The following is a 19,737-nucleotide window of genomic DNA, read 5'->3' as shown; positions in this document are numbered from 1 at the left end:
GCACCCAGACAACGCCCAGGGAGCCGCACTCCCACCCCACTCGGCCGGCTGGGTGGCCACACTTGCCCAAACCTAACATTTTTCCTTCTGGAAACAAAAGTTGCAGTCAGGTGCCAGGCGGAAAGCTCATGGGTGTCTGTAGGAGGCTCCAAGTACAGGCGCAGGCAGGGGCAGCCCCGGGCTGAGGACCCAGCCCAGGTAGACGTGGTGTGTACCTCTGGTGCTCAGGCCCAGGGCTCACCACTCCCCTGCACCCAGGATGTGGTTCAAGGCGCCGCCACCCCCGCTCCCTCCTGCAGCGCCCAGAGTGGGGCATCAGGGCTGCCCTGGGTTCTGCCCTCACCGCACCCCTCCTCCCCCCATCTTTTGCCCCTGCCCTCACTGGCCTGCTCAAGTCCTTTGCCCTTGATGTCCCCTCACTGTCCCCAGAGGGGTCTTTTGGAGCCCAAATTGAGACAGGCCTTCCTTGGTTGGGGACTGTGTATGGCCGTGTAGGCTGTGTAGCCAGTGCCTGCCTCCTCCGCAGCCCTCCCCACCCCACAGAGGCACAGGTGTGCTCAGGGCGGCTCCTCCTGCCCCTGGCTTAAGTCCCCTACCTCCCCACCCCATTAACTGCTGGAACTAGCCCATCTTCCTGATATAGCGACAAGAAGAACAGATCTTATTTTAAGAAATCTGGCACAGAGGAGTGCAAAAAGTAGGAAATCATAGTCCCAGCTACTCAGGAGGCCAAAGCAGGAGGAACCCAGGAGTTCGAGACCAGCCTGGGCAACACAGTGAGACTCCATCTCTGCAAAAAGTTAGCTGGGCCTGGTGGCCGCACACCTGTAGTCCCAGCTACTGGGGAGGCTGAGGTGGGAGGGTTACTTGAGCTCAGGAGTTCAAGGCTGCAGTGAGCTGTGATGGCACCAGCCTGGGTGACAGAGTGAGACTCTGACTTTAAAACAAAACAAAACTTCTCAATTTAATATGGGGAAAACAGGTTGTGAAATGGGAAAAGTTCCCTTATCCCCTCCCGGGGCGTGCAATGGAGGTGTGTTTCGCTTCCTCGGTGTCCCACTGCTCAAACTTCTAGGGGAGCATACAGACAGGCAGGCTGTGAGGCTTTGACCCCACAGCAGTGTCTAGGGGTGAATGTTTACAGCTGAAGCCCCAGTGAGTGTGTGTTACAGGGTGCTCTTTTAGTTTAGCTGTCCATAGGTGGCTTGTATTAGTCAGCTCAATTAGACCCTTGCCTTATTGCAAGGACAGAAGGCTTTCAGTATCCTGGGGTTCTTGCCTTGGTGTACTGGAAGAATTGGATCACACATGGGCTTGGAGAATGAGTGCAAGGTTTTATTGAGTGGAAGTAGCTCTCAGCAGATGAGGGAGCCAGAAGGGAGATGGTTTTCCCCTGGAGTTGGGCTGCTGGGTGGCCTGGGCTCTCCTCCAACTGCCCGGCCAGATTCCACCTCATTCCGCTCGCTGGTTGATGGCCTGCCAGCATGCCAGCCTCTGTCGGTGTGCTCTTCCACCACCGTGCTCCCCTCAACGTCCTCTCAACGTCCAGCCACTTGTGTCTCTGCTTGCTATGGTCTTGGGGGTTTTTAAAGGCACAGAATGGGGGTGTGGTGAGCCAGGGTGGTCTTGGGAAATGCAGCATTTGGGTGCGAAGGCAGGAGTGCCTGTCCTCACCTAGGTCTATAGGGACAGGCCCGGGGGTGGAGCCCTTGCCAGGTGACTTCCCTTCCTAGCACTTCCCTGCCCCTCTCCCGTATCATTTGGAAATGTGGGGAGTGAGCCAGGCAGTGTGGTCTACACCCTCCCAGACCCTCCCCACAGCCCTGACGGTGGCTCTCACAGACCCTTCCTGAAAACAGCAAAGGGACAATGGTGGCAACACCCAATGACAGCTTGCCACTGCTCCCTTAGCTGGGATCACAGAGGTGGCACATGGGCTATAACTCTGGTCCTTGCAGGCCGCCCTGGTGCCTCTAGCTCTTCACTCAGTGGCCATGCTGATCCTAAGAGGAGGAACCCTGTCCCGGAGTTGCTGTTACTTGCAGAAGACAAAGAACGGCTAAGCCCGCCCCAGCTTCTCCTGGGTTCTCCACGTTCTTCTGTGCCAGGCTCAGTGGCACCTCGTCTTGGTTTTTGGACATCAATGTTCCTATATTTCCATGTGGCTAGAGCTTCTCCTTGAGCGGTTTTTCCGCAAGGAATCCTTGGTGTCCACAGAGACCTCTGTTTTACCCTCCTGCTTACCATTTTGGCCGGCTTTGGAGTTCAGGCTTGACAACCTTCCCCAGAGCTCGCAGGCCTGGTCTCACCATCACTGAGCCTCTTGGTTCCTGACTGTAATCACCTCTCCCATTACTGAGTTCTTTTTTGCCCTCTTCATTATGTTGCTCTGTTTGTTCCCCGGGGGCCCCTTTCGTCAGATGGTTGGCTCCCCCTGAGGCCCCTGGTTTCTGGGCTTGATGGGCAGGAGGCTCTATTTGTGTGTGCAGGTGTGTACATGTTACCCATGCATGTGTGTGTGCATGCGTTTGTGTGGGGCCTAGATCTGTGAGCCATCCCTGGGGCTGAGTGGGGCTGAAGCCCTGTGTTGGAGGCTGAGCTCCTGGTGCTGAGTGGAGCAGAAGCCCTGCTGTCAGAGGCTAAGCTCCTGGTGCTGAGTGGAGCAGAAGCCCTGCTGGCAGAGGCTGAGCTGCTGTGGGGGCCCCTGGCAAGAGCAGCCTGCACAAGAAGCGCCGTGGCCCTGGTCCGCGTACTGGAGGTGGGCGCCTCAGCAGGTCTCTGTAGCTGGAAGGACCGGGCTGTGGGCCCAGCTCTCTGCCCTGCCCGGAGGTGACCTCAGCACACCCATAGCATGCCTGTGGCAGATCTGGGATTCAGACTTGGGGTCCCGGGCCTATTCTGTGTGGGTTAGTGAGGGCAGCAAGCTTCTCACCCACAGAGGCACAGGCCCCTAAGACACGATCCCTCTGCCTGGCTCAGGAGAATAGAGGGGCCAGAGACCGCTGGACCAACTGGTATGAGTTCTGCCTACTCAGAGCCCCCAGCCTCAGGGGCTTGGACTCCTTGTGTGTAAAGTGGGTGATGCCCCATGTATGCCAGGCTCTGTCCAAGGTGGCTGTGCATTGATATTATTGCTGTGTTATCGGTAGCTCATTCCAAGTGGTTCCTATGTAAAACATGCACCAGGAAGGAGAAGCAGACAGAGGAGATAGAATCAGTGGGCTCTGTCAGGGGCCAGTGAGCTGCTCTCGCTTGTACCTGGGGAAGTTCAGTGCTGGCTGAGCCTCCCCAGTTCCCAGAGCGAGGGCAGAGGGTGCAGGCGGACCTGGATTCCAGCAGAACCACCTGGCAGTCTGCTGCTTGTGGCCTCGGCCATCCCCTGACCTGGCTGTTCAGGAGATGTGTGACCAGCGAGCCTACACCCCACAAGCCGGCATGGCACATCTCCCAGCCCAGGTGTAGGGGGGCCCTGGCCTGTGTTCAGGGGACCTGGAATGCAGCCTCGATGCACAGGGGACACCGGGGCGTCCAGGTGGGGGAGCCAGGTTTCCCGGAGCTGCCCTCAGAGGACGCACATCACATTCATTTCTCAAGTGGGTGGCAAATCCCTAGGTGCTCCTGGGCGAGTCTTAGAACCATGGCTATGCCTGAGATCACTCACACTGGTTCGTATGTAAAGCCTACACCAGGAAGGAGAGAGAATCGGTGGGCTCTGTCAGGGGCCAGTGAACCAGCCTCCTGCTCAGCCTGCACGGTAACGTCGGGAGAGGCTGGGGCAGCTGCCAGGCGGTGACCTGGGAACAGTGAGAGCGTTTTGCAAGGGCCCATGCAGCCTAATTAGGAGCCTGGGCTCCCAGGTGCCCACGGGGAGGGGAGCAGACAGAAACTCACAGCAGCCCGGGCTAATCGCCTTAAGAGTCTCTTGTTTGTATAGCGCAGACTCGACTTGGCGACGGCCCAAATCAACTTGTTTTCTTACTGTCAGGTTCAGATTCTGGAGATGCCCTCCAAGACGTCAGTGTGCGCCCTGAAGCCGAAGGCAGATGCCAAGCTGGGCATGCCCATGTGCCTGCGGCTGTGGCAGGTAAGGCCCCGCGTGCACCAGCCACGCCCTGCCGGCCACACCCACGGCCATGAGTCATGCTCCATTCAGGATCTGATTTATCGTCGAGCCACTCAGGCAACACCCCACCCCCCTGCCGCAGGGAACCTGTGCAGCTGCCTCAGTGTCCCCACGGCCCTCTGCTTCCTGCTGCTGCAAGGGGCCTCCTGTCAGTGCCCCAGGAGAGGCCTGGCTTCAGCCAGCAGCAGTGGCAGCAGGTCCTCGTCCTTTGCAAGCTCCGGTGGGCTCACCCCGCAGCTCGTGGTGCCCTCCAGTGAGCGGTGAGGAGGGGACAGTGGGGTCTGCCAGCGCCTCAGTACTTGGGCCGTGCTTAGGGCAGGGCAGGCCACGCTGACTAACTGCAGCAAGCCTGCACGGCCCCCGCTTTGCTTAGGATTGATTTTTATTACTTCTTTGCCTCTTAGAGGCAGGAGTGGACTTAACACAATGACATTCCCTGAGGCCACATTTGGAATTTCTGATCCATGAACATTTCCTTCCTTCTCAACTGTTCTTTGTGGTTAGACAGGGTTGGAAGGCATCAGCCGGGGCACAGGTCGGGGTTGCTGGGAGGGACTCTTCTGGGCCAGCTGCCTCCATGCAGCACAGCTTCCTCGAGGCCAGTCTCCTCCCTCATCACCCTTCAGGCCAGCACTGGCTCAAGGTGTAGCTGCCCTCCTCGGGGCCGCTCATGTCCAGGGCTGCAGAGCAAGTGATCCCGTGCATTCACTTGCAAAGAGCCCCTCAGCCCTGAGCTGCCTCGGAAGCCCACGGTAAGGGGTCACCAGCAGCACTCTTCCCAGGCCCTAAGTCATGCCAGGCACCCTCCTTTTCTATTTTATTTATTTATTTTTTTTTTGTGATGGAGTCTCGCTCTGTCACCCAGGCTGGAGTGCAGTGGCGCGATCTCTGCTCACTGCAAGCTCCGCTTCCTGGGTTCACGCCATTCTCCTGCCTCAGCCTCCTGAGTAGCTGGGACTACAGGCGCCCGCCACCACGCCCGGCTAATTTTTTGTATTTTTAGTAGAGCCGGGGTTTCACCATCTCAGCCAGGATGGTCTCCATCTCCTGACCTCGTGATCCGCCCGCTTCGGCCTCCCAAAGTGCTGGGATTACAGGCGTGAGCCACCGCGCCCGGCCCAGGCACCCTCCTTTTCTGTTTGGCTCTGAGAACTGCCCTGGGCTGGGCCTTTACCGGGAGGTGACTCTGGCTCGCTGCCTCTTTGACCTCCTCATGAGAGCGAGACCGGATGGGCCTGTGCAGTTTGTGGGCATCTGCATGCCCTGCAAGGCCCACCGGGATGGGTACCCCCAGAGTCCCTGCCCCCAGCTTTTCTCTCTCTCCACGTGACCAGAAAGTGGGCGCCCCTTACTGCAGTCAGCTTCCCCCTGTGGTTTCTTGACTGAGAAGGTTCACTTGGAATTTGGGGTCTCCCGTGGACTGATCCTGTAGTGCTGCTTCTGTGGCTGTGGCCATTTGGGGAGAAGCCCTCACAGGAGGCAGGGTGGCTTCCGGGAGGCTCACCTGAGATGATGAAACTCGGTGCCAGCAGGCTCACAGCCGGGCCACAGGGACTGCAGCAGAGCCTGGGTCACTGGGCTCCATGTGCCCACACAAGGCTCCTCCAAGGGCTTGACATGGGCTCCGCTGGGAGGAAAAACGCCCCCCAAGGCTGCAACCCCGCAGGCAGTGGGCAGGGCATCCAGGTCCTGGGGAAGGGTGTCCGAGTCTGCACGGCTCCTGTTCCACCCCTTGGGAAACGTGGGTCATTGCACAATCATGTAAAATTCCAACAGAAAAATGCGTAGAAAGGGATGTACAAACTTGTTAAGGTAATTAATGTAGTTGACAGAGGACAAATCGTGTTTCTGTTGGTGATGGAGATCCAGCGTGAAGCATTCCGCTAAGAAAAGCCGACATTAACTCCACATGTTCCCTTTTCCATCCCCAAGCCTGAGGGTCAGGTTATAATTTATCAATCCAATTGTGGCACAGTGGCCTGACTTGCTTTTTTTTTTTCTGAAACATTGAGGGTTTTCTTTTTTTGGGGGGCAATCACATTTTTATTTATTTAAAAAATTTTTTAATTTTTAATTTTTAGTATATTCTTATTTTGCTCCTCTAAGCAGCTGACCTGCAACATAAGAATAATTGCTATTAATATATAAAAGGTCAGGACCTACGTCAAGCCTGAGGCAGTCACTGGCATAGCCCTCAGGGCAGGGGCCACTCCAGCCAGCCCTGCCCTGCTTCTTGGGGTATGGTGCATGGAGGGCTTCCCACAGCCCCTGACCTGCTGTGTCCCTCTGGGGGTGCCAGTCAATGGGAGGGGTGCAGAATGAGGCCTGGCCTCCAGGTCTCATCTGCGGGCAGGGAGGGGGCAGAGAAGAACAGGTCCAGGAGACTTCAGATCCTCTCCCCTGCAGAGGTCAGGCAGCATCAAGGCTGTGGGCACCGAAGTGCTCCAGCCACAAGAGGACTGCCCGGCCTGTGGTATCTGTCACTAGGGGGCTGCAGGGACCAGGGGCATAGCAGGGGCTGGCAACCACAGGGCAAGCCCCTCCAGGCCAGGTTGGCTTCTGCTCCAGCCACCCTGTGGCACCACGACAGGCGGGTCAGTCACACACACAGTCCCTGCGTTGGCCATGGCATCTGAATTCAGAGGCAGTGGCTTCACACAGGCTCTAGGCTCTGAGACTGCCAGAAGGACATCGGTGATGGGAGCAGCCCCAGGCAGTCTCAGCTCCTGCAGTGGAGGAAAGTGCCGGGGAGGAGGGTGGCACAGGCTGGGAACAGGTGCCACCACAGAGCGCTGCCTGAGGGGAGTGGGTCCAATGAGGAGAGTCTTTGGAGTCAGCTTCTGGGGTTGGCCTGCATTCCTGGTTGGGATGCAGAGTGTTCCCCGCTGCTCTCGCCTGGCCCTCACCCACTGTGAGTTCAGACGCACCACTTACCAGGGGGAGGCCCTTCTAGGGAGCCAGGGCTGCCTGCAAGGAGCTTCTGTGCAGAAGGCATGGTGCCCATGTTGGGAAGGAAAGTACTGTGGGTCCCTGCACGCCTCATTTCCCAGCAGGTGATCTGAAAGGTGCCAACATGGAACTCCTCCCAGGGATAAAACAGCACACGCAGGAGCGTGGCCAGGACTTCTGCAGGGAGGGGCAGGGGGCTGAGTACACTCGGGGCCCTGGGGCAGCCCTGCCTCCCAGGGACAATGTGGACTCTGGCAGCGGGGCATGACTTGGGATGAGGCCTGGGAGGAGGTGCCCCGGGAGAAGACACACTGACCGCCACTCGCCTCCTCCTGGAGCCTCACTCTTCTCAGTTTTGTCTGTGTGAACTCTGTTATTAGAACCCAGTGGTTTTACAAGTCTTTTTCAGGGACATGTATGAGGACCACTGGACCAGCTCTGGCCTCGGGTTCACATGCCCACATCCTGCAGGGCACAGTGAGTGTCCTTCTGTCCCTGGCATGGCCATCCCCTCCAGGTCAGGGCAGTTGGCCTCGGGCTCCGGGCCTGGCTACCCCGGTTCCCATCACCAGCCTTCTGATGCAGCGAGCCCTGGTCCTTGTGGTGTCTGAGGACTCAGCATCCCTTTGTTAGGCACACGCCCTGGTGCCTTCTGGCTCCCTCAGGTCTCCTTGCTCAGCCATGCCAGGTTTCTCTGGGCTGTCATTCTTGGTGCCGGGGACTGACGGCTGTGTCCCCAGGGTGATGCGGAATCCTGCAGTGCTCTCCTCCTGCAATTATTCCAGAGGCTTAACAAACGAGGTGTCTGCCCAGGGCTTGGAGCCCTCTGACCCGCGCCCTCATTCATCACAAGAGCTCGGGCGGCTCACGCCAGGCTTCAGGGGCAGGGGCTTCGGCAGCCACTTTGACAAAGCACAGAGAGTTCATTTTTCATGGAGATGGAGCTCACGGTTTCTTCTGGCTGGCGGCTCTAGACAGGTGACCAGCCCCAGTAAGTGGTGGCCACACATCTTAGGCCTGGGGAAAGGAGGCAGGAGGACAGGTCCCTGTGCATGGGAGAAGTGGAGAGGGTCGGCAGCACTCACAGTGGCTGGTGGGTGCCCAGCATCACCCCTTTGGGCAGAACCCAGGGTGGGCACATGCAGGTTGCAGGGCTGGTGAGAAGTGGTACAGCAGTGGGAGGCCTTGGGCTTGGCTCTCTGCCCTCCACCCCTATGTCCTTGGGGTGCCCTAAGGGCAGCCGTGCCAGTCCCATGCTGACAGCATCAGCCATCCAGGGGCTGTGTGGGAGGGCACTGGCGGTGCAGAGCTTCTGAGCTGTGGCAGCCACGTGGAAGACATGGGAAACAGCCCCAGCCAGCAGGAGGGGCAGGAATTTCCAGAGCCCCTTCTCCCCCGAAACTCACTGGAGTCAGGGTCCTTCCAGGAGCTGACTGCTCTGCTGTTCCCCGCAGGCCGACTGCAGCTCCCGCCCACTCCTTCTGGCCGGCTATGAGGATGGATCGGTGGTCCTGTGGGACGTCTCTGAGCAGAAGGTGTGCAGCCGCATCGCCTGCCATGAGGAGCCCGTCATGGACCTTGACTTTGACTCCCAGAAGGCCAGGGGCATCTCAGGCTCCGCGGGGAAGGCGCTGGCTGTCTGGAGCCTGGACTGGCAGCAGGCCCTGCAGGTCAGTGCGCCAGGCCCCGGGTCTCATTTATCCTGCTCTGCACTAACAGTCTGATAGGCTGAAACAATATTTAGGCATGAAGAGGAGTTGTTGCAGATCCCTGGCTAATTAATCACTTGGAGGCGGGTGCAGGGGGGCTGTCCATGGCTGGCGCAGGAAGAAGGGGGCGTGGGCGCTGGCAGACCATTCACATGGTTTGGGTTTCGCCCAGACCTCGGGTTCATGCCGTCACATCTTGTCCATCTAGAGAAAGGCACGCAGAGTCCAGGAATACTCAAACCCCTTTGTGAAAACTCAGAGGAATTTGGTCAGTAAGGAACTGATTAATCAAAAAAAAAAAAAAAAAACCAGTGTGGAAAACTGCGAGGAGCTGCAGCCCCCGTGGTGGTCTGGAGCTGGCCCGAGGGAGGCCATTGCTCACGGGCAGCAGGAAAGCCCAGCAGGAAGGCTGGGAAGCCTCAGGGCCACCTGGCGGTTGCTGAAGATCTTCCCATGGTGTCTCCTGGGCTCTCCTAGCTGGCATGGCTCGAGGGGCACCGTGGTGTCCCTGTCTGGGCCTGTGGCTCCAGGGTGGCCTGGCCTACACGTGGCCCTGTTTGGGATGGGAGGGATCAGGTCAGGCTGGTGGGGGCAAGGGGAGTCTCCTGTCCAGGTCTCACTCTGGTGCAAGTCTCAGGGGCTGCAGAGACCATGGGAGATGAGGTGCTGGGTGTGGCCTGGGTACATCCTGGCTTCTGGGGGGTGGACAAGGAGCCCCCATTCACCAGAAGTCTTGGAAGCCTGAGACCCATAGCCAGCGAGTGGTCAGATTGCCCAGTCTAGTGGGTGAAGGGCCTCCAGGGGGAGCTGCATGTCCCGTGAGGTGACTACTGGCAGAAGCAGCAACAGCTCCCAGCCTCACCAAGGACAGGGCCCGGGGCTGCCCTTCTCTGTAGGGCTGTGGTCCAGGCTGTCTGTACGACAGGAGGCCACAGAGAGGGCATTCCTCGGGCCCCCCAGGCAGGGCAGACTTGCCCGCAGCCCCAGCAAGCCTGCTGCGCCTCACGCTTGCCCAGCCCTGGCCCCTGTGGGGCGGGGAGGGTTCACCTCGGGTCCGTCAGGCCCACCCCTGAGTGGGCACCACCAGAGTCTTTGAAGCACATGGTGGAGCTGCGGAAGGACATGCCCTGGTGAGACTAGGATACACAGAGGGGCAGGGTTCTGTGAGCGGCCCCAGTGCCCTGTGGGCATCACCAACCTGTGCAGGCACATGGTAGACTTGCAGGAGAGCTGTGTCCATCCCTCACCCATCCGTCAGCTGTCCTGGGGATGGGGGCACAAGGCCCTGATGTAAGCGGCAGAGCTTCTCATGTCTCCCCGGGAGGAAGGGTCTCCTAAGGCTTAGCAGGCCTGGGTGGTCGGTGGATGTGTCATCATCATGATGCCCGTTCTGAGCAGCTAGAAGCTGAGCTGCTCTGGGCGCTGGGAGGCAGAGCCACTCTGGGTGCTGGGTCTGCATGTCTGGAAGGGGCGTCTCCCTTGCACTCCCTCCCTCCTCCTCAAGCCTGGCAGGGATCCTGCAGGGCTGCCCCCATGGGGTCCAGTGTTCACTTGGCACTGGCTTGTCCTTCACCAGCCTGACAGCAAAGCGCTGAAGACCCAGACAGCTTCCCTGAGAGCCCCCGGAGGGCTCTTCTCTGCAGTTTCCACCTCTGTGCCCAGGACCCCAGGAAGGGGCCCTCCTGCCGTCCTGGCCCAGATCTGCCTCGTCTCTCCTGGTGTGTTTGGGAAACAGCTGCTGGAACTTAGGACTGTAATTTATGGGGCATGTTCCAGTCCAGAGATGAACTTGACCGGATTGATGAATTGAAAAGTTAAAGCAAAAGGGGGACCAGGTATTAATGAATTGGAAAGTGAGAGCAGAAGGGAGAACCAGGAACAGGGAGTGGTTGGCGTGGCTGTGGCGTGCTGGGCAGGGCATCGGCCCATGGTGCACATCGAAGGAGAGGCGTTTCCCCTGCTGAGCCCTGTGTTGCATGGGCCAGGAGGAGGCCTGGGAGGGGACAGGCGACTCCAGGAACAGGGGACAGGGAGCCGGAGAGGCTGATGCGCCACCCTCTGCCCAATGTCACATCTTAACGTTGATCCTAGAGGCCCTGGAGATTGCAGGTTCTGTAAAGCCCCAGCCTCAGGGAAAGCCTGTGGGGGCGCTTTCGGAGGTGAGCTGCCTGAGAGCGTTCTTGCCACCCGGGAGCAAGCAAGGTGACCGAAGGTCCTCAGCACCCACAGGTGTCCTCACCCACCGCCTGCACTGTGACTCCTTGGCTGAGAGCCACGTGGGCACGGCTGTGTCCCCCTCACACCCTCCTGCCGAAGCCTCTGATGAGCCCAGATCAGTCTCCCCCCGGCGGGTGCTGGGAGTAGAGACGCGAATGAGGTTCCTGGAGCAGAGCATGGGTAATCGGAACCAGATGGTGGCTTCGCCGCACCACGCATTCCTGGCACCTGAGGTCATGCGCTACGAGAGCCACTGGTGGCCAGAGATCCTTCCTGGAAGGCCCAGGTCCAGGCTGGGGCTTGGCCAGGGGCCGCGGTGGTGACGAGGAGGCTGCCCACATCAGGATACCACCTGAGGGTGCCTCGGGGTCAAGTGGTGACTGGAGCCCTGAGCCTGCCTTGCTGAGGCGGCTTTCCCGTGAGCTGTCACAGTTAGAGCCTGTGTTGTCATCAGATACAGGTGGTACGCAGGCCCTCTCCCTCCCACATTTTGGGGTAGTGCCCACAGCCTTGAAGTGGGGACTGATTTACAGCCAGCCATATTCTTAGGGCTTTAAGTAATAATGAGGCTCCCCCACCCCAGGCAGCCCTGGTCTGGGAAGTGGACCAACCGTGGCTCTCCCACAAGACATGGCCAGGTGTCCCAGCTGCGCTCCCATCTGCACAGCAGTGGTGGCTGCTGCGCTGTCTGCCAGAGGCTTCCCTTTAGAGGGCAGTAGCAGAGCTGCTGGGCAGCCAGGAGGGAGGCCAAAGGGCCCCGGGTCAGCTCCCCGTGCATCGCATCAGGAGGAGAGGCTTGTGCAGGGCGTGGACATGTTTCCATCTGCCATCAGGAGCACGGTAGTGCAGGGCCCTGGCTGCTGTCACTGCAGGGCCAGGACCAGTCCTCCTCTTCTTCAGGAACACAGGGCTGGAGCAGGCCCTAGTCTTTCTCCAGGAGGCCCCACCAGGCTTCCCGCATCATCCTCATTTCCTGCGGGAAGCTGGTCCTTGAACCTGGTTTTCTTTACCTTGATGCTGTCACTGCTTTCTGAGAATGGCTGAGGTGGGTGTGGGGTCGCTCCTGTCCCTGCAGGCAGTGGCCGCCTGGCTGGTGGGTAGGCACAGCCAGGCTGCTGGGCAGGAGCTGGGCAGGAGGAACTGGGCATCTCAGCCTCCACAGGTGAAGATCCCTGGTCAGGACTTCTACGGAAACCTCCCCACACGCCTGTGGCTCCAGGCATTTGGCAGCTCTTTTCTCCCTGGGAAGGACCTGCCAGCAAATTCCTGTCAAGAGGGCCCTGAGCAGGCCCCAGTGGCTTCCAGTGAGGCCCATGGCGTGTGGCCTGTTGTTCCCTCTCTACCACTGACTTAGGGCAGAGGTCACAGGAGAGAAATGGGTGACGATGGCATCAAATCAGCCTCCTGTTCTTCCCAGCCGCCAGTTCCTTCCCTGGGCCACTGTGTTCTGGTCCCTGAGAGCTGGGGAGGGGCTCCTGGGTCTGCAAGCACAGGCGGCGAACCCCACACGCATGACAGGTACATGCCAGCATCCCCTCACGGCCCTGCGCAGCAGGTGCTGGACTTGACGGCCCCGCGCAGCAGGTGCTGGCCTTGACAGCCCCTCAGCCGGGTCACAGGGAGCCAAGTGGGGAGGTAGGGGCTGGTGTGGAGGGAGGGGAGGCAGCGCCAAGGCCGGGTGCTCTGGACACTGAGGCCAGCCTGGGCTTGCGGTTGCCAACCAATGGCTGTGTGTCGTGCTGCAGCACATTCAGCTGCTTGTGTGTGCACAGGCAGGATACCGCCGAGACCCCCAGAGCCAAGGTCTGCCAGGCAAGAGAGGTAGAGGACAGGCAGAGCGTCTGGGATGTGCTGGGACTGTGCTGGTTACAGTGCGCGGTGGGAGGGGAGGGGCCATGAGAGGGGTCAGGGCTGCAGGCCTTGGTAAGTCCGTGAACCAGGGGGCCCCGGGCCCTGGAGAGGCCTTGAAAGGGCAGGATGATGGGCTTGCAGGGGCTTGGCCTTGAGAGACAAGCTGGTGTTGAGGTAGGACGGCGAGGTGGCTGAGGGCATGGCAAGGCGCCTACCTCACTGGCCAGGAGCCTAGAGCAGTGTTGGGGGCGCAGGCGGTGGTATCCCAGGCCAGGGTGAGGGCTGCGCTGGCTGTGGGTTGTTTGGTGGCATCTCCTCGCCAGGCGAGGCTCCTCCCACCCCTCCTGGGGAAAGAATCTGGGTCTTGAATGGGTGCCTGATGTCACTAAATGATCTCACTGCATCTCTCCAACTCATACAGGTTTTCTTCTTGAATCTGTTCATTGCATTGTTGGAGTTTTCTTAAACATTAAAACAACTAAAATCCTCAGTCTGTCCCTGAATCTCAGGGAAAAGTCTTGAAATCACCGCCTGCACCCCCACCCCCCCTCCCGTGTGTGACATGTGCTCCGCCCACTCTGCTGGGCTGGGCCAGAACTGCCCAGGGCCACAGACGGACCTGGGCCTCCCTCTCCCACCACCTGCCTAGTGACAGGAGCCCCAGGCTCAGGGAGCTGGTGGGGAGCGTTCCCTCTTCTCCCGATGGATGGACACATTTGGGCGGTGGAGGTGGGGGGTCGTGAGTGACTGTAGGTTGGTCTTCGCCTGCACCATTACTGGGCAGTTATTTTCTCTGCCCAGGTTGTTTTCTTTGTGGACTAATTTAGGTTTCCTGATTTGGGGAATTTTTCTAGGAATTTGTCTGTGGGCATACAAATCCTGAAGGTTGTATTCCTAGTGACCTTTTTTGGACTGCTTGTGATGATTGTTTAAATTTCTGCCGCATTCAAAGCTCCGTCCCTGCTTTATTCCTGATCAGTCTTGTATGCGTTTGTCCTTGAGCATTTCTATCTTTCTGTTCATTGTTTCTGTCCTTGCCATGCTCTCCCTCCATCCCATGTCCCCTGGGTTGCATCTGCTGCCCTGCCTGGGGTCAGGTGCACAGCCCATCGGCACTCAGCCTTCCCTTGCCAGCCCCACATGGAGCCTGTTTCCAGAGGTGACTGTCCAGCTGGGCTCCCTGGTGCAAGAAGACATTGTCTTCCTCCCCCCACTTCCAGGCAGACCCCATTTTTATTATTTTTTCCCCATATTCCTCATTTGACACAAAGACCCCATTTTTATTTGTTCTCTGGCTGCTGAGTTAATTAGAATGTTTTTATGGTTCTGAATGTTTGATTTTTTTCCCCAGTTATTTTTTAGTTTTCAATTTCTAACTTAATTAACATTGTGGTCTGGGAACAAGGTCTGAATGATATTAGTTCTTTGAAATGCGGGGCCGTCCAGTTTTCATAAGCATTGCACATGTGCCAGGGAGGCAGTGCTGGTTGTCAGATGCCCCGCTGCACACGTGGGCGCCAGGCCCGTGTGTCCACTGATTCTTAGCCCTTTAAGTCATCCTGCAGGTCACCATGGTCCCCAGCAGGCGCAGAGAGGCCTGTCCTGTTCCCTTTTGCTGGGGGCCTGTCTGTATTTGCTTTATGCACTTTGAAGCTGGCCTGGGAACATGCCAGTTTAAAATGGTGATTTCCTGGTGAATGAGGTCTTTTCTTCATTCCCCCTCATCATCTCTAGAAAGGACATTTGCCCCAAAGCCTATTTTTCCAACTATTAATATGGCTCAGTCCAGGTTTCTTTTGGTCACTACTTCCCTTTATAGCCTTTACATTTTAATCATTTTACCTCCAACCTTCCTGGCCCTCCAGGCGTAGACACATCTCTTATGGAGCCAGTTCTCACATCGATGATTGCATGTCGTGTGTGAGCGTTGCCCTGGGTGTTCTTACATCTCAAGACCTCCTTCTGGAAGCCAAAAAGCGCATCCTTTAGGGATTCCTCAGGCAGGGGCCTCTTGGTGGCTGTGCTGGTGGCCTCTGATGCACGGGCCTGGATGCTGAGGGGCCGTTCTCTGAGCAGCAGCAGCTGCTGGGCCATGGGTCTAGGTCCTGCCACCTCCCTGGGCTGCTGAGAATTCAGCTCCCAGCCTGGCCACCTTCCATGTGACTCAGTCTCATTGGCTTTGACTTACTGTGTCTTCATTTTAATTCAGTTCAGAATATTGTGATTTTCTCTTTGATCTGTAGGTTCCTTGGTGGGGGTGTGTTATTTAATTTCCAAATATTCGTTGATTTTGTAGCTATATCTTTAATCTAGCTTAATTCTGTTGTCAGTGAATGCACGCAGTGCAATTGCAGTGTTTAGAAATTTATGGAGGCTTGCTTTTGGCCCAGCACATGGCGTGTCTCGGGGAGTGCACCACATGGACTTGAAAGGAGCGTGTGTTCCGCAGTTGTGGGGTGGAGCCTTCCGTCAGCCTGACCCAGGTCAGTGGACGTGGTTCCAGTCTTTAATATCCTTACCGATCTTTTGGTCTAGTTTTGTTTTTTTTTTACCAGTTACGCAGAGAAGGCTCTTAAAATCTTTAACTGTGATTGCAAACGTGCCTGTTTCTTTGTCTCTGCCAGTTTTGCTTCATGAGCTTTGAAGCTCTGGGGCTCAGTGTGGGTGTATAGGCGCTGAGATGTCACCTCATCTTGGTGCAGAGCCTTTTTCTCAGCACAAAGTGTCCCTTGTCTCTTGTTAATGCTCTTTGTCTTGAAGTTGGCTTTGTCTGATACTAAACAGTAGCATCGACTTTCTTAGGTTTGCCCTTTGCATTTTCCTCCTTGCTTCTACTTTCAACCTGTCCTGACCTCTTGATATTTAAAAAGCATCTTTTATTTTATTTTATTTTATTATTTTATTTTATTGTTTTGAGACGGAGTCTCACTCTGTCACCAGGCTGGAGTGCAATGGCGTGATCTCGGCTCACTGCAACCTCCGCCTCCCAGGTTCAAGTGATTCTCCTGCCTCAGCCTCTCGAGTAGCTGGGATTACAGGCACACGCCACCACACCCGGCTAATTTTTGTATTTTTAGTAGAGACAGGGTTTCACCATGTTGTCCAGGATGGTCTCGATCTCTTGACCTCGTGATCCGTCTGCCTCGGCCTCCCAATGAAAAGCATCTTTAGCAGACAGATGTGTCTTGCTTTGTGATGCTTTCTGACAATCTCTGCCTTTTAACTGGTGCATTTAGTCTGTTTGCATTCACTGTAATTATTGACATGCCTGGGATTAAGTCTAACACCTCTATACTTATTTTCTACTTGTCACTTCCATTTTTGACCACTTTTCCTCCTTTCCTACCTTCTTTTGTGGTAATCAAATATTTATTTTTTAGTATTCGGTTTTGTTTCCTCTCTTGGCTTCTTAGCTAGACCTCTTGCCACTTTTGTTCCTAAGTGGTTGCACTCCAAGAGTGTGCAACCTTCTCAAAGTCTCCTTAGAATCAGTGTTGTTTACATCCCGCCTCACAAACATGATGACCTTGTGCTGGTGCAATCCCTTCTACTCACCTTTTTAGTCTTTCTGTGACTGTTGTGATCTACTTGACGTCTACACACATTCAAAACTGCACCTTACAATATTAGTTTCCCTTTTCTTTGAGGCAAGGTCTTGCTCTGTCACCCAGGCTGGGGTGCAGTGGTGCAATCACAGCTCACTGCACCCTCAAACCCCTGCCTCAGCCTCCCAAGTAGTTGGGACTACAGGCACCTATCACCATGCCTGGATAAGTTTTTGTAGAGATAGGGTCTCACTATGTTGCCCAGGCTGGCCTTGAACTCCTAGGTTCAAGCAATCCCACATGCTGGGATTAAAGGCATGAGCCACTGCATCTGGCCAGTTTTCCTTTAAATCATCAGTTTAAAAAAAAACTTACAAGAAATAAAAAACATAACATGTTACATTTACTCACCCCTTTGCCATTTCTGGTGCTCATCCTATAGACCCAAGTATCCTCTTAACATTTTTTTGTAGTGCAATTCTGCTGGCAAAAAATTCTCTAGCTTTTGTTTATCTAAAAAATGTCTTTATCACCCTCATTTTTACAGAATCCTGGCTATGGAATTTAGGAATGATAGTTTTATTTTTCTTCATGCCCTGTAAAGATGTTGTTACATTGTTTCTGATGAGAACTCATGATATCCTATCATTCCCATGCATGTAATATGTCTTGCTCCGTGGCTGCTTTCAAGATTTTTTTTTATCTGTGGTTTTCAGTAGTTTGACTATCATGTGCCTAGATAGATTTTTCTTCTTGTCCTGATTGGGTTCTGCTGAGCTTTTCATCTATATATTCGTGTTTCCCATTAAAATTGGGAAATATCCAGCCACTGTTTCTTCTTGACCATTTTCACTTTCTCCTCCTTCTGGGGCTTCTATGAGTTACACAGTTTGATAGCATCCCATGGCCCCCTGAGGCTCTGTTTGTTTTGGTTCAGTCGTTTTTTCTCTCTTCAGATTGGGCAATGTCTGTTGATCTGTCTTCCAGTTCACTGACTTTAAAAAATATATATTTCCAATCTACTGTTAAGCCTATTCAATACATTTTTCATTTCAGTATTGAGCTTTCCAGTTCTATATTTTCTATTATGACTCTTTTTTATAATTTCCATTTCTCTGCTAAGAGTTCCTATTTGCTCACTCAAGACAATTTTTTGGGTAATTATTTGAATACACTTTCCTTTCATTTTTTTTTTGAAGGAAAATTTGTATTATTTTAATTATTTTAATGTACAGAAAACTCAACAGTGTACATTTAACCCAGTTTAGTGGCAAGTTCTTTAGCCTTTGCCTTTTCGAGCTTGGCGATACGAGCCACAGACTTAGGACCCAGGATGTTGCCGCCCCAGTGACGGCGGATCTCATCGTATCTGTCATTGTAATTGGTCCTGATAGCTTCCATCAGCTTAGCCAAAGTGCCTTTGTCTTCCGAGTTCACCTATGTGAAGGTGACAGTGGTGCAGGTCTTCCTGTGGACTAGACGTCCCAGTCTTGCCTTCCCCTTGATAATGCAGTAAGGGACCCCCATTTTACGACACAAGGCAGGCAAGAAGACAACCAGCTCGATGGGATCCACGTCGTCTGCAATCACCACCAGCTGAGCTTTCTTGTTCTCCACCAAGGTGGTGACGATGTTAACTCCTGCTCGAAGGACAGGTGGTCTCTTGGTGGGGACGTCCCGTTTGCCAGCAGCTTTCTTCTCAGCCCAGGCCAACAGTCTCTGCTTCTTCTCTTGCTTTGTCTCTGGTCTGTACTTGTGGGCCAGCTTAAGCAGCTGAGTAGCTGTTTGGCAGTCCAGGGCCTAGGTGAACTGGTTAATTGCAGGAGGCACTTTCAGCCGCTTATAGAGGATGGCTCTCTGCCGCTGCAACCTGATATAGCGGGGCCATTTCACAAAGTGGGTGAGGTCTCTTTTGGGCTGGATGTCCTGTCCGATGCCAAAATTCTTAGGCCTTTTCTCAAACAGGGGATTCACCACTTTCTTAGCCTCCTGCTTCTTCATGACAGCAGGGGCCAGAGCCACCTTCTTTCCCTTGGCCTTCTTTCCTTTTGGCATCTTGGGTGGTGGGAGAGAGCTCCTTTCATTTTTTGAACATAGTTAAGGAGTTTCTTTAAAGTCTTTATCTGATATGTTCAACATCTCTGCCATTTTGGGGTCAGTTTCTATTAACTGCTTTTTCCCCTTGACTATGGGTCATATATTCCTGCTTCTTAGCATGTCTACTAATTTGCTGTTTGTGTGCCAGACATGGTAAATGATACATGCTGAATCTCTGGGTTCTGTTATTTTGCTCTGAAGAGTGTTTGCTTTCATTCTGGTATGGAGTTCAGTTACTGACTGTTCACCTTGAGCTTGTGCAGGCTTGGCTTTTGGCTTTGTTAGGGCAGGTCTGTGGAAAGTTCATTCCCAGGCTTGTTTAGTGGGGTGGACCTCAACTTCCAAACTCTGCCTCTCCTGCAGACCTTTTCAGGGCTTGGTTTCTAGTTTTGTTCTGGTAGATCTAGGGTAGGCCATACTCTAAGATAGAATCCTATTCCTGAAGTGAAGCCGTTCTGGTAGCTCAGCTGGTCTCAGGCTGTCACACAGTCTTCACATTCAGGCTGACTGGACCCCCGGCACTGTTGACCTCTTGAACTTGTTCTGTTTAACTGTGCAGCTCTGGTAAGCCCTGTGGAGTCCACCGTGAGCATGCGCAGTCCAGCCCTCACACAAGACTCATAGGGACCCCCTCAGACAATCTTCAGCTCCCTCTGTTCCTTTGCCTTGCCCCATGGATTTCAGCCCTCTGGCTACTGCAGATTATGATCTCTGCCTCCTCAGCTTAATGTGACCACTATGTTCTGCCTGGACTTCATGCTCATGGCATTGTCTCCAGGCAGAGAGCTGTGGGGGCATTTGGGAGGCCCACCTCATCAGCTGCCCTTCTCTGCCTAGTGCTCCCTGCCTGTAAACAGTTGCCTTGTGTATTTTGTCCACTTTTTATGGTTGTTTACAGCAAGAAGACTAGTCTGGTACCAGTTTCTCAATTATAGACACTTTCCTATTGTTCTTGCTTTATGGATGATATGTCAGTTTACTGGCTAAACAGATATTTACAGTTATTTTGGGGGGTGGGGAGCACAAGGTCTTGCTCTGTCACCCAGGCTGGAGTACAATGGTGTGATCACAGCTCACTGCAGCCTCAAACTCCTGGGCTTAAGCAATCCTTCCACCTCAGCCTCCCAGTAAGCTGGGACTACAGGTGCATGCCAGCATGCATGGCTAATTAAAAAATTTTTTTTGTAAAGACAGTATCTCTATATGTTGCCCAGGCTGGTCTTGAACTCCTGGGCTCAGGCAGTCC

The 19,737-nt window shown here is 55.0% G+C and overlaps 1 protein-coding gene and 1 pseudogene across 1 annotated transcript in view, besides 3 other annotated features; one reads left to right on the top strand and one right to left on the bottom strand.

Moving 5' to 3' along the window:
- The window catches only part of GNB1L (G protein subunit beta 1 like), a 71,652-nt gene that overhangs the window by 44,132 nt on the left and 7,783 nt on the right, over positions 1 to 19,737 (top strand). The window contains exons 6-7 of the mRNA NM_053004.3: positions 3,986 to 4,084; positions 8,527 to 8,742. Coding sequence (NP_443730.1) covers positions 3,986 to 4,084; positions 8,527 to 8,742 — 315 coding nt within the window. The remainder of the gene's footprint in view (positions 1 to 3,985; positions 4,085 to 8,526; positions 8,743 to 19,737) is intronic.
- Positions 4,012 to 4,256: a silencer, noted in NCBI's record as "fragment chr22:19794010-19794254 (GRCh37/hg19 assembly coordinates)". NCBI's record gives its function as "represses an EF-1alpha promoter that drives an FKBP-Casp9 reporter gene in an ReSE screen in phorbol 12-myristate 13-acetate-treated (for megakaryocytic differentiation) K562 erythroleukemia cells {active_cell/tissue: K562(+PMA)}" and the evidence as "EXISTENCE:reporter gene assay evidence [ECO:0000049][PMID:32094911]".
- Positions 10,951 to 11,532: an enhancer, noted in NCBI's record as "H3K4me1 hESC enhancer chr22:19786734-19787315 (GRCh37/hg19 assembly coordinates)". NCBI's record gives its function as "activates a minimal SCP1, AML or CMV promoter by ChIP-STARR-seq in naive H9 embryonic stem cells {active_cell/tissue: H9 hESC(naive)}" and the evidence as "EXISTENCE:reporter gene assay evidence [ECO:0000049][PMID:30033119]".
- Positions 12,799 to 13,504: an enhancer, noted in NCBI's record as "H3K4me1 hESC enhancer chr22:19784762-19785467 (GRCh37/hg19 assembly coordinates)". NCBI's record gives its function as "activates a minimal SCP1, AML or CMV promoter by ChIP-STARR-seq in primed H9 embryonic stem cells {active_cell/tissue: H9 hESC(primed)}" and the evidence as "EXISTENCE:reporter gene assay evidence [ECO:0000049][PMID:30033119]".
- Positions 17,589 to 18,468, bottom strand: RPL7AP70 (ribosomal protein L7a pseudogene 70; annotated as a pseudogene).

Source organism: Homo sapiens, chromosome 22, assembly GCF_000001405.40.
Source record: "Homo sapiens chromosome 22, GRCh38.p14 Primary Assembly".
NCBI classification, from domain to species: domain Eukaryota; kingdom Metazoa; phylum Chordata; class Mammalia; order Primates; family Hominidae; genus Homo; species Homo sapiens.
The sequence above is the reverse complement of the archived record's forward strand: the minus strand, read 5'-3'. Positions and strand labels throughout refer to the sequence as shown.